Below are 16,350 nucleotides of genomic sequence, written 5' to 3' on the forward strand. Positions count from 1 at the left end.
TTTTTTATCCCCACTGCTCAACAACCTTTGGTGATTAAATAAACAAACTTTGTTTTTAGAATTTTTCAGAGCCTTCATGTGGATTTATTTTGTAACAAGAAACATGCAACCTGTATTATAGAATCACTTGCTATCAAATATATGTTACAAATAGTTTAAATGTATGCTACCCATTCATTAAATATGTTTCACATCCATTTGAGGTGCCTATGAATGGAGGTGGGAATCAGTGAGGAACTTGACACGGATGTATAACCAGCTTTAACATTTAATTTAGTTGTTAAAGTCAGTTAAGTTTTTAACATCCATTTTCGTTATTTTTGGGGATAAAACATTTAAAATTAAATTAAGTCATTAATGATTTAAGTTACTAAATTAAGTAATTAATGATTCATCATTGAGGAGGTGCTGGTTCATTTCTGTGATCTGAATAAATCTTACAGTGACATACAGAATCACTTCCCATCAAATGTGTGTTATTACGTACAGGGTAACTTTAAAACATTCTCCCTATGGTGTTTCGATCCCTGATAAAATCAGTCTGTGTATGTGTGTGTGCCCCTCTGTCTCTGTGTGTCTCTCTCTCCATCTTTCCTTTTCATCTCTCATTCCCTTTCTCTGTTTCTCTCCTTCTCTCTCCATCTTACTACTTCTCCCCCTCCACACCCTCTTTCATCTTGACAATCAGAGAGATACGATAGGTAACTGTTTTTACCATATTACTAAGGGGCCAGTATTTTAGGTCTAAATTGTGATTCCTTTGAAACTTGCTATTTTTTGTTTATTTATTTACACTTCCTATATATTTTTGACCATTGAAACTCACTTGTTTCTCCAAAGATGTTTGGATTTTCTGGAATATGAGAAACCATACATTTTCTTAACTTACATGCTCTGAAGACAGAGTACTGACTACTAATTTGTTATCCTCGACTTGCACCCTGGCTAGCTGCAATGTATTGCATAAGAGATAAAGTTATTCTTAAGAAATTCATAAGAAAAATTTATAAGAACTAACAAAGTTACTCTACTACATAACATTGAGATATTTCAGTAACAAATCTTGAGAAATTACAAAGAGAGGTACTAAATATCATCTGCTTGCCTTTGGCCTCTTTGTAAAAACAAAATTCCTTCATTTTCCATATAAGCAGGATCATTGTTAAAAACAAACAAATAATTAAGTGGAAAATTATCAGCCTTTTAAATAAATCTGTTTGTATAGATGTGTACTAACTCTGCAGAAGGTAATTCTATCAGTAAAATATCAGTAAAATCTCTAAGTCCTCAGTTTTGTATTTATTGGATCCCTAAAGATAAAGGGGAGAACTTTTGTTCTCAAGGAAGACTCACAACGTAAATCAAGCAAAAACACAAATTCTTAGACTCACAGAACTTTAGAACATATGAACACTTGAAGAAAAGTTAAAAATTTTCTAAACTAAATCAATGCCCTTGTTTGGAAATTTTCTGTTATATCCCTGTTATATATGTATCCAACTTTGAACAGTTCCAGGAATGAGGACCTTCAAATTCCTGGAAAGTTATAACTTTAAGTGGCTAAAGAATAGAATTACTTTTCAACATATAACTGGTAGTGGAAAACCAGCATCTTGTCTCACAGTTTTCAGAGACAAATATGTCAGAAAATAAATTACACAAACTTTATATAAATTAGCACAAATTATGTTTTCATAATCATTTATTTGAAATTCATAATGGCTACAATAAGATAGTCAGTATTAATCCAACACTAATAGTGAAATTTTCATGATATTTGAAAAAGTTCAAGAAACCACTCATACTCCAGCAGTGTAATGATTGATAACTTGGACAATAAATCCTTTGTAGACTAGTCAGTTGAAAACTGCACTCAGAATACTGTCTCTAAAGATGAAAATAAGAAAAACTAAAGTTATATCAAAGATAAAGTCATGAGGCCATCAGTTACAAAGAGAATGGGACATAAATTCTTGCATAAAACTATGTAATAGAAGGCTATTAGGGATGGCCATAAGGGACGATTTGGAAGTCTTGAATGCATATACTTTAAGCATGTTCTTGTCTGAAAACTTGAGAATAAATTAAATCTTTACAGTTATTTTAATAATATGTTATGCCTATGTCACCACCATAATACACTTATTTTAGCTCAGAGACTGACACATACTATACACTCAGAGAATATTTATTGAAACATTGAATGAAATGGATATTTACATGGTGGCAACCTCAAGGTAGATAAAATGAAGATAATATAATAAATATTGAACTGAAACGAAAGGGTTGAGTGTCATGGTTTGATATTTTAAAAGTGGTCTTTGTTAGAAGACCTACATGCAATATAATCAGTGTCCCTAAGAAGGCAAATTGAGGTAAGAGTTTGCAATTGAAGGTATCTGCTGTCAGACAGCTTGAGGCTACTAATATAGAAGACCTATTTAGTTTTCAAATATAATTGAGGATATTAAAAATCATACCATGCTCTTCAAACTGTTAATGTGAAACTTATGTAAGTTACCCTGTTATAAATGTATTTCTCAGCCTCTTAGTTATTTCCTCTTATTTTAGTCTTCAGACAAGATGAAATTCAATCATTTAAAAATAAATTTACATCTAGGCCACTACACAAACTCAGAATTCTGAAATTACTTTTCAGAATGCTGAAAACACTTATTCTTGGCTTCTGTTGAAAATGTGTCAAGGTAATTCCTTCATGTAGGGCAAGATATTAGAATTATTTTTTACTATTATTTAGAACCTCTCAATATTACACTGAGAGGTATGGGCACCAACTTAGCCTGCACAGTTTGTAAACCATCAAGGTAAGAAGGGAAAATTTAACTCTCATCCAATACCAAAAAGAGTTGATTAATTCAGCAGGATACATGTGGATTGTGGCCACTAAAATGGTACCCTTAGAAGCTGTGATGTTAACATCAGGCACGCCCTTTGGCCACACAGAATCATATTAGATGTCTTAAGTATCTATATAAGCTGTGGTTGTAACGGATGAACATTAAAAAAAGTATTCAGAAGAGAATTATGCTGCTTATAGATAAGTTAAATCTATCACTTGGTGTTTCTGCTTGGCATGAATATCATGAACTTGACTTGCATATTTATTTAATGTGCAACTTGAACACAGGTGCATAGGCTATGGACTGTTCCCTTTTTAGTGTTTGCATATATAACAACTGACTACAAAAAAGGGATTTAACACAGCAAAGGGGGTTTGGAAAAATTCATCCTGGATGATACATCTCCATCCGTAATGTCATACCACACTTTTCTGGTCACTGTGTGTGCATGTGCATACATCTATATATTGCATTTATTAAATTTGCAAGAATAGTTTAAGTGTCTGAGAAAGTATGTTTAGTAATCAAAAGTTGAAGGAAACAACATATTAAGTGAGGCTTAAAACATTTAATGCATGCTAAATAATTACACTTGTTAATGTAGACATAATTGAAAATCTCCTTTAAAGGTAATTATACAATTTCCTAGATTTCTATTTAAAATAATATTTGTGATACAAATTAAAAGCATAAGGGTGCTTAAGGCAAACCGGTATTTTGAATTTATAACCATAATAAATTGAATATTAATATTTAAAATCAAAGTAACTTCTGTATAATCTATGTACAAAATTCACCCCCCGGGGCACCAAAAACTCATTATCATCTATTCTTTTCAGTGCCTGATTTTAAGTTGCAAAGGGCCAGGGAACCTACCTACTGGTAAAAGTTTCTATTGACGTAGATTAAGATGATTTTGTAATAGCTGTGGAAGTTCATTGTGGACATGCAATTGACATGTCCATTAGGAAATTTTCATATTTATAGGAATTTATAGTGCTTAAAGATATTTGTCTTCTGGAATATAAAGAGTTTTGTGATTGTCATTTTAAATGGGGAGCTAAGTAATTTTACATGCTTATAATTTCAGCTGAATTATTACTGTAGTTATAATGGAACTATAAGACAATTTGAACAGAATCAACAGTATCAAATACTGCTAAGTAAGTAAGTGAAGATTGAGAAGTGACCAAAAAAATTAATGATGTGGAAGTTGTCAGTGACCTGGAAAAAGACAGTTTTGATGGAGTATTTGGTGGAAAGCCTGAAAAAAAATAGTTTTAAAAAAGAGTGGGAAGAAAAGAATGGAAATAGTGAGTCCACACAACTTTTTAATTTTCTGAAAAATTTTATTACTTTCCAATAATTTACTGTATAAACTGTAGTTATAATGGAACTATAAGACAATTTGAACAGAATCAACAGTATCAAATACTGCTAAGTAAGTAAGTGAAGATTTGGTTAAATTTTAAAGTAGAATCTAGCAATTATTTTCTGAAAAAGAGTAGAAATAAGGAATGGTGCTTGGTAGGGATGTGTGAATAATGGTTAACCATGAGCTTTAAGTAGAAAAAAAAAAAGAACTGGATAAATACCTGAAATGACTTTCCTATAAGACCTAACTAATGCCTTTATGATATCTTCAAGGTAAATATTTGACCTTTATAGAAAGGTCTCTTATCAATTAATTCATAAAAATTATAAAATGACTATTAACAATTTTTAGGAATTACAAATGCTATTTTTATACCTCTGTTGGCTTGTTTTATTTGTTTTTCCTTTCCTTGGAAACCAAGCAGGATTTTCTTTTCTTTTTTTCTTTTTTTTTTTTTTTAATTTCCATAGGTTTTTGGAGAACAGGTGGTATTTGGTTACATGAATAAGTTCTTTAGTGGTGATCTGTGAGATTTTGGTGCAGCCATCATCCGAGCAGTATACACTGAACCCAATTAGTAGTCCTTTATCCCTCACCCCCTTCCCACCATTTCCCCCTGAATCCCCAAAGTCCATTGTATCATTCTTTTGCGTTTGCATCTTCAAAACTTAGCTCCCACTTATGAGAACATACGATGTTTGGTTTTCCATTTCTGAGTTACTTCGCTTAGAATAATACTATCCAATCCCATCCAGGTTGCTGTGAATGCCATTAATCCATTCCTTTTTATGGCTGAGTAGTATTTGATTATACACACACACACACACACACACACACATATATATACACATACACACACACACACACACACACACACACATATATATATATATATATCACAATTTATTTATCCATTCATTGATTGATGGGCTCTGGGCTGGTTCCACGTTTTTGCAATTGCAAATTGTGCTACTAAAAACATTCTTGTGCAAGCATCTTTTTTCAATGCTACTTTCTTTACTTCCTCTCTTCTTTCCTTCTGCCCCTTCCTCCCTCCTCTCCTTCATTCATCTCTCCCTTCCCCTGCTCGCCTTTCCTTCCTTCCTTCCTTTCCCTTCCTTCCTTCCTTCCTTCCTTCCTTCCTTCCTTCCTTCCTTCTCTTCCTCTTCCTCTTCCTCTCTCTCTCTCTCTCTGTCTTCATAATAACTTAGGTCAAGCACCCTGACTCAAGATAAACCTCCTCAGCAAGAGGTCACTTGAAACATGAAGAAAGGGTTTATATGTTTCAATCAGACAGCAGGCATCTCCTGACCAAATACGTTCTGAGGACTAACTTATGTAGGGCAAAACTTATGTGGGTAAAGGAAAAACTTGAGCACCTAGAGTCCTGGATGGGATGTTATAATAAGAGTGTATCCTATGGAAGGGAGGGGAGAGATGGGGAAGTGAAGGGCAATAGAAGGAGGCATTGAAAGAGAGCTGAAAAGATGACCACTGAGAGCATTCTTTTTTTTTTTTTTTTGAGACGGAATCTCGCTCTGTGGCCCAGGCTGGAGTGCAGTGGTGCAATCTCGGCTCACTGCAAGCTCCGCCTCCCGGGTTCACGCCATTCTCCTGCCTCAGCCTCCCGAGTAGCTGGGACTACAGGCGCCCACCATCACGCCCGGCTAATTTTTTTGTATTTTTAGTAGAGACGGGGTTTCACCGTGTTAGCCAGGATGGTCTCGATCTCCTGACCTCGTGATCCGCCCGCCTCGGCCTCCCAAAGTGCTGGGATTACAGGCGTGAGCCACCGCGCCCGGCCGAGAGCATTCTTAATTTATTTGGCCACATATTGAGGAGAGGTTAGCAGTGCTTCATGGGAGTTATCTGCACATCACCTTTTCCACACATACCAGGCCACCTGCAAGCCCCATCTCTTTTTTGTGGAGGTGAGAGTTCATAGGGTCCATAAGAGTTCCCCTTGGAAGCAAGCTATGCCATTAATCCATCACTAATGGGCTGAAAATTTAGTCCTAATAATCACCTGTTTAAAATGCTGCATATATCACAAAATTGATAGCTTGGCTACTTCATTTTACTATATAGATCTATAGAGAGATACTTAATTTATCCATAGCTGAAATTTTCCAATTTTGATGTTTTTTTGATGATGTCAGTTATCATTCTGAAACTATCCTCGTATTATCACCCATAGTGCCATGCCAATGAATTTGCTTCTTATTTTCTATTTTCTTCCTAGCACTTACAAATTCATGGACTATTATGAAGACAAGTTAAGAGATTGTGTCCTCCAAACTCATCATTTTTCAGGTAAGGAAACTTACGTTCAGAGATATTACCCTGACAGCTCCAAGAATGTAAAGGTTGTTTATAGCAGAAGATAGCTCACATTTTCTCTAGGCCATGTCAAATGGAAAAATCGTATATGAATGACGTTATATTTTTTCCATTATATGATTGCAGACTGAATGGATCTCTGTTGTTTTTAAATCACATCTAAATTAAAGTCTTTGAAGATTTTCGTTAAGTTCAAACTGCACACAATTAACGGTAGTAAGTTCAATGTCAAAGTTACAGAATATTTAAATTTAAAAACATTGTTCTTACAACCTAAGATAACTTTTTAATGTTTTTTAAATATTAACTTGGAATTATGTTTTATCTACTAGAAATTATATTCTTTATGAAATATTTTTGCCTGCATCTTTATTTAACACTATGTTGGCATCATTTTCCATAATGACAAATAGGCTTCAGAATGTTAAATTATAATTAATCCTTGTATTTTGATCAACCTTCCAGAACCTTTTCTATGCATCTCTTTTGTATGCACTTCGTAATTTTTACTGTCACAAATATATTCATACACATATCTTCTGGTTAGTTGAAATGATTTCTTTTTGAGAAAGGCTTAGAAAGGAGATTTCTGTGATTAATGTTTGAAAACCATGGCTAGAACAGCATGGTTTAGGGCAGAGGAGCCCATCAATAAGGAAAGGCCCTCCTTTCAGCTTCATCTCGTCTCTCCACCAACGTGTGACCTCAACTAATTATTTAGCTTTTTCAACTTCAGTGTTCTTCTTATTAAAGTGGGTGCAGACACAACTCTCTAATAGGAATGTTATTAGGACAGTTTATAAATAAAATATTTGGTTTAGTGTCAATATATGGTAAGTGCCCAATTGATTATGTTCAATGTTTTCTTTATGGTTCTTAAAATATTTCTTTCCAAAACTGTTATGGCATTTTCCTCTCCCACTATCCCCCTGAAATATATCTCTTTTTAAAATATTTGGACCATTTATTGGATCTAAAATGATACTTTCAGTTTGCTTTGATTTTTGATTTCTCTAATTTTGTTTGAATTCTTTTTAAAGTAAATTGACCAGCTGTGATGTTATTTTTTAAAAATGTAATGCATAAGAAGATTGACCATTCTATTAATTAATCAAAACACCAGAATAATATTTTTATTCTTATTTATGAAACTTAAATGGTCCATTATAATCTCTAGCTGATATTTCTGTAATATGAAGTATACGCATATAATATTGGATCCTAGACATTTGGAATTCAGAAAAACAAAAGAAAAACAAAAACCGGAATTGAAAAACCCAGAGAATCTGAAGACATCATAGAACTTTCTCCCCTTGCATTTGGAAAAAGTTATAGATACTATCAAATAATGGGTCAATAGTGTACTGTATCCATGTGGGGATATTTAGATCACCTATGTATAATGGCAATTTCAAAAGTCATGGCTCAATTTTGTGAACTAGACAATTCTGGTAATTATAAGAGCAGTAGATGAAGCTGATGTCTCACATGCTGAGCATATGCTACTTAAACACATAGCCATCATTCCTGGTGCTTTCTACAAAAATATTTCATTTCATTAAAAATGACTGTTGGCCAGGCACAGTGGCTCACACGTGTAATTCCTGCACTTTGGGAGGCTGAGTGAGGCAGGCAGATCACCTGAGTTTGGGAGTTCGAGACCAGCCTGGCCAACATCGTGAAACCCCATCTCTACTAAAAATACAAAAATTAGCCGGGTGTGGTGGCAGGTGCCTGTAATCCCAGCTACTCGGGAGGCTGAGGTGAGAGAATCACTTGAACGCAGCAGGCAGAGGTTGCAGTGAGCCGAGATCACGTCGCTGTTCTCCAGCCTGGGTGACAGAGCAAGACTGCCTCAAAAAATCAAAAATAAAAGTTACCCCTGATAGTTAAATAAAGATAAGGAGAGGAATCAGCAAATCATCCATGCCTTGCCATAATTAAGGTTTGTGAACATTTAGATGTCTTTCTCTTCTATTTTAAAATATGCATAGGTTTTACCAAATGGGCTCCTGTTCTACATTGTGTGATCATAGATATTTGTACTTCTTGGATCAGCAAAAGATGGGCATTTACAGGAACCACCATTGAGGCAAATAATGTCTGATGTGGAGAGAATACAATGCCAAGTATTGTAATTGGTTTATTTTTTGTTATTTTTTATATATTTTCTTATAAGAATATAAGGCAAAATGTGTCTCTATATTTAGTTGGAGATGTGTATACAGCAGTAAGACACATACATAGTTGCTGATTCTACTCTTCAGATATCTGAGTGTCATTTGTAATCCTTCCCTTGGTCTACTGAGAGTGTTTTGTACTTTAATATATTTAACGCAATGTCGCCGTTTCACAGATTTATTTTATTTTAAAAAGATACACAGACTTCAGTATATTGTAGTAAACAAAAGTAGAAAAATTAAGGCAGCAATTGGAGAAATAATTACATATTCTTTCCCTGGGATGTAAGCATGCAAAATACATGAAGATATATGCTTTTCATTCGAAATAAGGAAAATAAAAGACTCTGCCTCATGATGCTCATGAAAACAATCATTTTTTACTTTTTGGCAATGGCTTTGGAGTGGAAGCACATTACTGTCATCTCCTGAAAGAATTAAATATAAAGTGGAAACCCAGTGAAGAGGAAGAAAATGCCATATAAATTTCAAATGAAGATTTGGAACCAGATTATGATGAACAATGTTGCTAAACCTTGTGATCTCTACCTTCTTTAGTCCCTCCTTGGGAATAGCATAACAGTGGACCCAGCCATCTAGGATTATTTGAAGTAACTTTGGGTGGTACAGTTCAGAAGAATCAACCCTAGAGAGCCTTAAATAACAATACCGAAATGGGACATATTGCCATTAAATCTGTCCCTAACTTAAAAATGTTTAACTAGATGCTACAAAAAAAAAAAGTAATACTTTGCTAATACTTTCCAGAAAGAAGGATGGAGGGGAGAAAATAAATACACGTAAAAAAGACTCCTTTGATCTTTTCCAGTAATGTGGAATGCTCACTTTAATGGAACTATGATTCAAACTGCACCTATAAGAACCAGGATCAAGATCTACATGTTCAAATGTTTGGAAATTTTCTGAAAACATCTAATTAGGTCTTGAAAATTTTCAAACATATGATTAGCTCTTGTTCCCAATTCTTATAGGTGCAGTTTAGTTATAGTACCGTTAAGTCAGAATATATGAAACTTCAGTTAGAAGGAATAAGTTCAAGAGATCTATTGGAAAACAGGGTGACTATAGTTAATAACAGGGTATTGCGTTCTTGAAAGTTGTTAAGAGAGTAGATTTTAAATATTCTGGCAACAAAGAATAAGTTATATTTCATATAATAAAATATATATTCATAATAATACATATGTTAATTACCCCAATTGAACCATTCCATAATGTATACATGTTTCAAAATATGTTGTATGCAATACAAACAAGTTTTATTTGGTTGGTGCAAAAGCAATTGTGGTTTTTGCCATTAAAAGTAATGGTAAATATTACTTTTTTGTAATAAAGTAGTATTTAATTAAAGGATAAATAATTAAAGGATAAATAGTTTTTTAGAATTTAAATAATCTGAAATTATGCCAGTGCTGAGAGAGATTAGGAAGACATGAGAAAGTCACCCAATTAAATAAGAAACCCACACTGAAATGTCTGCAAAATACAGCACTGTCAAGATGATTTTATCATGGAGAAAAATATTCCAAAATCCAGAAAGTAATTACCTATTCGGAGAAGATAGATGAAAATGGGGAAACATTAGGTTGAAACACATTTTTACAAGTCCCTATCATTGAAAATAAACTTTACTTCTCTGTAATACTTGTTCAATTCTATTGATTCAAGAGAAGGCCCAATTGATTTGGAAAATGAAATTTAAAAGGAATCCAGATAGTTTCATGAGTTTTTAACTGAACAGAATATTTGAAAACCCTTGCACTACAAAGAAATTTTAACAACATTGACGTGTATGCCTGATTTTAGCTTTGCTGTGGTTTTAGGGTGGTCCAATCTTAACAATTTTAAACAGGCCCAGAGATATTCATTATGTGATTATGAATCACTTCCAAGGGTAAATTTTAGAGTAGGATTTAGTCATATCTATAACAACACTGATGGAGCATGTGTCAAGTTAAAGGCAAAATATTAAGAATAAGGGACAGTTCTCAGCTGACTGGAGTGAGTCAAACGTCAACAGTATTTCAGATATCATGAACCATTTGCCCAGATAGTCCAGTATTCATTGAATAACATGTCACATGTGTAGGATCTCAATAGCTGAGCTGCCTGAGGACAATTTTTCTTTAGCTGGGTTCCCCACTGGAATCAACTGAAAGGAGTTGTTTTTAGAAATGCTATTGGTGGAGCACCATCCCCAGAGATTCTAATTCAATGCAGGCAGAGGGTGGAAGAGTTTGGGAAAGATGATGGCTCCATTTCTTAAAGCTTCCCCAGTTGATTTCAGTATGAATCTACAGCTAAAACTACCATCGTGGGTCATAACTAGAACTGTATTTGATACTTGTGTCTTTTTCTATTTCAGTTTTTATGAGACTAGCAACACCCAGTTTATAAGGTAGAATCTGCAACTACTATACAATATACTTGAAAAACTTCTTTGAATATTGAAGTTTAACATCACAGCATATCTGGTACATTCTAAATGAGCATCTTCCCAGGGAATTGACCCACAGTCATGGTCTTAAAATGTTTCGGTCACCCCCATTTTAAATTAATAAAAGGTGGCTGTGGAACTGCCCAAAAAACTGGTATTGGCTTTCAGCTAGAGATGTCAACTGGCTGGCTCTTGTTTCTTGTAAAGTGGCCAATATGTGGTTTGGAGCTCTGATTAGGGGAAATTCTGGTAATATTAAGAAAACATTCTCCTGCTATGTAACGGGCCAGGAATGTATACTCAAAATCCAAAAAATCATCTAATAAAATGTTTTAAAACAAGTACCAAGAGGAGAATCATCTCTTTGTTGCCTTCAGCTAGTTTAAGTGAATGTATACCATGTATACCAAGGTATTCAGGCATACCTTGGAGAGATTGCAGGTTCAGTTCCAGACCACAACAATACAGTGACTATTGCAATTAAAGCAAGTCACATGAATTTTTTGGTTTCTCGGTACATATAAAATTTATGTACCATAGCCTATTGTACAATAGCATTAGGTCTAAATAACAATGTACACACCTTAATTAAAAATACTTTATTGCCTAAAATGCTGATTATCTGAGCCTTCAGCAAGTCATGTAATCTTTTTGCCGGAAAGATTTCTCTGTTGCTTAATATTATTTTACCCACAGTAGAACTTCTTTCACAATTGGAGTCAGTTCTCTCAAATTCTGCCTCTGCTTTATCAACTAAATTCATGTCATATTCTAAATCCTTTATTGTTGTTTCAACAATGTTCACAGCATGTTCACCATCTGAAGAGATCACTTTCTTTGCTCATCCATAAGAAGCAACTCCTGTTTCATTCAGGTTTGATATGAGATTGCAGCAATTCAGTCCCATCTTCAGGCTCCACTTCTAATTCTAGTTCTCTTGCTATTTCTGCCACATCTACTGTTACTTCCTCCACTGAAGCTTTGAACCCCCCAAAATCACCCATGAGGGTTGGAATCAATTTTTTCCAAACTTCTGTTGATGTTGGTAGGCTGACCTCCTCCCATGAATCACAAATGTTCTTAATAGCATCTAGAATGGTAAATCTCTTCCAGAAGGTGTTCAATTTACTTTGACCAGATCCAACAGATGAATCACTGTCTATGGTAGCTATAGCCTTATAAGATATATTTCTTAAATAATATGAATTAAAAGCCAAAATTACTCCATAAGTAATTACTGCAGAATTGATGTTGTGTTAGTAGGCATGAAAACAACATAAATCTTGTACGTCTCCATCAGAGCTCTGGGGTTACCAAGTGAATTGTCAATGAGCAGAAGTATTTTGAAATAAATCTCTTTTTTTCTGATTGGTGTGTCTCAACAGAGGGCTTAAAATATTCAGTAAACCATGCTGTAAACAGATGTACTGTTGTCCAGGCTTTGTTCTTCCATTTACAGAGCACAGGTAGAGTGGATTTAGCATAATTCTGAAGGACCCCAAGATTTTCAGAATGGTAAATGAGCATTGGCTTCAACTTAAAGTCACCAGCTGCCTATCAAGAGAGTCAGCCTGTCCTTTGAAACTTTGAAGCCACACATTGACTTCTCTGTAGCTGCAAAAGTCCTAGGTGCATCTTCTTCCAATAGAAGGCTGTTTCTCCTACACTGAAAATCTTTTGTTTAGTGTAGCCACCTTCATGAGTGATTTTAGCTAGGTCTTCTGGCTAATGTGCTGCAGCTTCTCATCAGCACCTGCTGCTGCACTTTGCACGTTTATGTTGTAGAGACAGCTTCTTTTTTTAAACCTCATGAACCCACATATTCTAGCTTCAAACTTTTCTTCTGCAGTTTCCTCACCTCTCTCAGCCTTCATGGAATTGGAGAAAATTAGAACTTTGCCCTGGACTAGGCTTGGTTTAAGGGAATGTTGTATGGGTTTGATCTTCTATCCTTACCTCTTGAACTATTTTCATTTCAGCAATAAGGCTGTTTCACTTTCTTATCATTCATGTGTTCACTGGAGTCACACTTTTAAATTCCTTCAATAACTTTTTATTTGCATTAACAACTTGGATAACTGTGTTTCTCAAGAGGCCTAGCTTTTGGCCTATCTTGGCTTTCAATGTGCCTTAGTCACTAAGCTTAATCATGTCTAGCTTTTTTTTTAAAGTGAGAAACATGAGACTCTTCTTTTTCACTTGAACACTCAGAGGCCATTACAGGGTTATTAACTGGCCTGGCTTCAACATTGTTGTGTCTCAGGGAATAGGGAAGACTGAGGAGAAAGAGAGATAGGGTAACAGCTGGTAGGTGGATCAGTCAGAACACACACAACATTTATTGATTAAGTTTGCCATCATATATGAACATGGTTCATGGTGCCCCAAAACAATTATAATAGTAACATAAAAGATCATTTATCACAGATCACCATAGTAGATAGAATAATAATGAAAAAGTTTGAAATATTGCAGGAATTACCTAAATATGACACAGAGACACAAAGTGAGCCCATGCTGTTGGAAAAATGGTACCTATAGACTTGCTGGATGCAGGGTTGCCACAATCCTTCAATATAGATAAAAGGCAGTGTCTGTGAAGCACAGTAAAGCAAAGCATAATAAGGTGAGGTACACTTATACACGGTGATGATTAAAGTACATTAACATGCAGAAAAAGAGGGCAAGAAGCAAGTTATCAATTGAACAAAACAATAGATGTATAAAACACATCATTACAGAAACCTGGCAACTTGGTGGTACTAGTCCTTGTTTATGGACACACCCTTCATAATCAGCTCTATGTATGCATCCACACATTCATTTATTCAGCCATTCATTAATTCATGCATATATTTTTATTAGTTTTCCATTCCTGCTATAACAAATAACCATATACTTAGTGGCTTAAATCAACACAAATGTATTATCTTATTGTTCTACTGTTCTGAAGTTTGGAATGAATCTCACTGGGCTAAATGCAGTTGTCAAAGCTGCATTCCTTCTGAAGGTTCTAAAGGAAAGTCTCTTTCCGTCCCTTTTTCAGCTTCTAGATGACAACTGCATTCCTTTGTTCCTGGCCCCTTCCTCTACCTTCAAAATGCACCACTGCAAACTAAGCTTCCTTCCTTATGTCACTTTTTCCCCCTAAACCTCCTCTCTCTCTCATAGGGACCCATGGGATGATAGTTCCACCTCAAAATCCTTGACTTAAGACACCTTCAAAGTCCCTTTTGCCATGTAAGCTAATATAGTCACAATGTTGGGGGGATTCGAACAAGGACATATTTAGAGGGGGATTGTTTTGTCTATTGCAGTATTCTAAAGGTACTTATTAAGCTTTACTGATTAACTTTTGAACTCAAAATAATATATGTTTACATTTGAAAAATTTTTTGATTGTCCACTAAGGTGAATTTTAGCACCCTTATGATTTTGCCAGATCTTATCTCACCTTCAACCTCTTCACCATATATATATTTATATTGAATGTGTTCATTACATTAACATATTTAATAGAATTATAGTATTATATATTTTATATATATAATTATATTGTATACATTATATGCTTATATATTATAATTAATATATAATATAAAATATTAATTATATATATTAATTACATGTGATTATGATATAATATAATATATAATATTATACATGATATATATTGTAATATATATTGCTTCATAGATAGTATAACAATATTTGTCATATTTTATATATGATATATATTGTGTATATTATATATGTCATATATTATATACATTATATGATTATATAATATACAGTATATAATTTGTATATTATATATTATAGAACAATATAATATACAATATATAATCATATATAACATGATAAATATATATTATATGATATATAATTATGTTACATTATAGTATATATTATGCATTTCATTATATATAATTATGATATATAACATAATATATCAGATGTAATATAATGTATGATAAATATTATATGCTTCCTTCCTCACATCACTTTTTCCCTTTGATCTTTTCTCCCTTGAATATATGATAAATATTATCTATCATATTTCATAATTATATATAATGAATATATATGTAAATATTATATATAATCTGTCACACATATAAATAATATAATCCATATTAATATAATATATAATAATCCTATATAATATATTCATGATATCAATTATTATATAATCATACCATAGCTATGCATTACAATAATTATATATAAACATATGTAATCATATATGTTATGTATTTTATTATATAACATATAGTCAGTTTTAATATATAATATACAATTGTGTAATAGATAATATACAATATATAATATATGATTGTAACAGATAATATATCTATTATCTATTATATAGATATGTATTATATAATTATGTATCATATATATTGCATTGTTTATGAAACTTAAATTTGTTTCTGGAAATATCATTAAATCTTTTTCTATGACTTGATTCTGAAATGTGGAAAAGCAGAAGGAAAAGAGCACCGTTCCTCAGAGCATGGCCTGACTTAGCTGGGACCCCGGCCCCTTGCCCTGCTGAGTGCCTCCCACCATCATGTATTTCATTCATCCTAAAAATGTCGTATTTACTGATGTGAAAAAAACAATTAGAACATTTTATTGACTCTAAAGTTGTGGGTTTTTTCTTCTGATTTTAAATAAATCCACGCATTTTCACGGGCCCCTGAGCGTCCTGCAGGCTTCAAACACTGTGCCGACCATCAGCTCTGCCATTCATACCACCATAGCTACAGAGACCTACAAAGCTTCATGCTTCAGAGTACATCCTCCATGGTTCTAATGCAGCATGCCCAGAAAGAGAGCCTTATCAGAGTTAAAGTCCCCCTGGTGGCTTTCTAGTCTCCTTCAGTTATCATGCCACTGTTTAGGTCACTTCGTATTTCCCAAATGTTGGATTAAAGGTATCCTTTATTTTGGGACAACAAAACTTGTCCGCTTACCAGTTTTCTCTAGATTGTTGTATGGCTTTTAGGGAGAAAAGCCCTCTGTTTTTGTCTCTTTGTTTTATTTTGTTTTCTTTGCAGGCATGAACAAGGCAGGTAGAGAAGCTAAACTGGAAATCTAATAATCACCCAGCTCCTTTCACCCACCCACTGT

The 16,350-nt window shown here is 33.9% G+C and overlaps 1 long non-coding RNA gene across 4 annotated transcripts in view; it reads left to right on the forward strand.

Annotated features, from left to right (window-relative positions):
• The window catches only part of LOC107985675 (uncharacterized), a 528,885-nt gene that overhangs the window by 294,357 nt on the left and 218,178 nt on the right, over positions 1-16,350 (forward strand). For 3 of the 4 annotated variants that reach the window (XR_001755783.2, XR_001755782.2, XR_001755784.2), the window contains exon 2: positions 6,479-6,549. This is a non-coding gene — a long non-coding RNA (uncharacterized LOC107985675). Of the gene's footprint in view, positions 1-6,478; positions 11,559-16,350 lie in introns of those variants that run through there. The other variant, XR_007068387.1, reaches the window with a different exon arrangement.

Source organism: Homo sapiens, chromosome X (assembly GCF_000001405.40).
Source record: "Homo sapiens chromosome X, GRCh38.p14 Primary Assembly".
Lineage (NCBI taxonomy): Eukaryota > Metazoa > Chordata > Mammalia > Primates > Hominidae > Homo > Homo sapiens.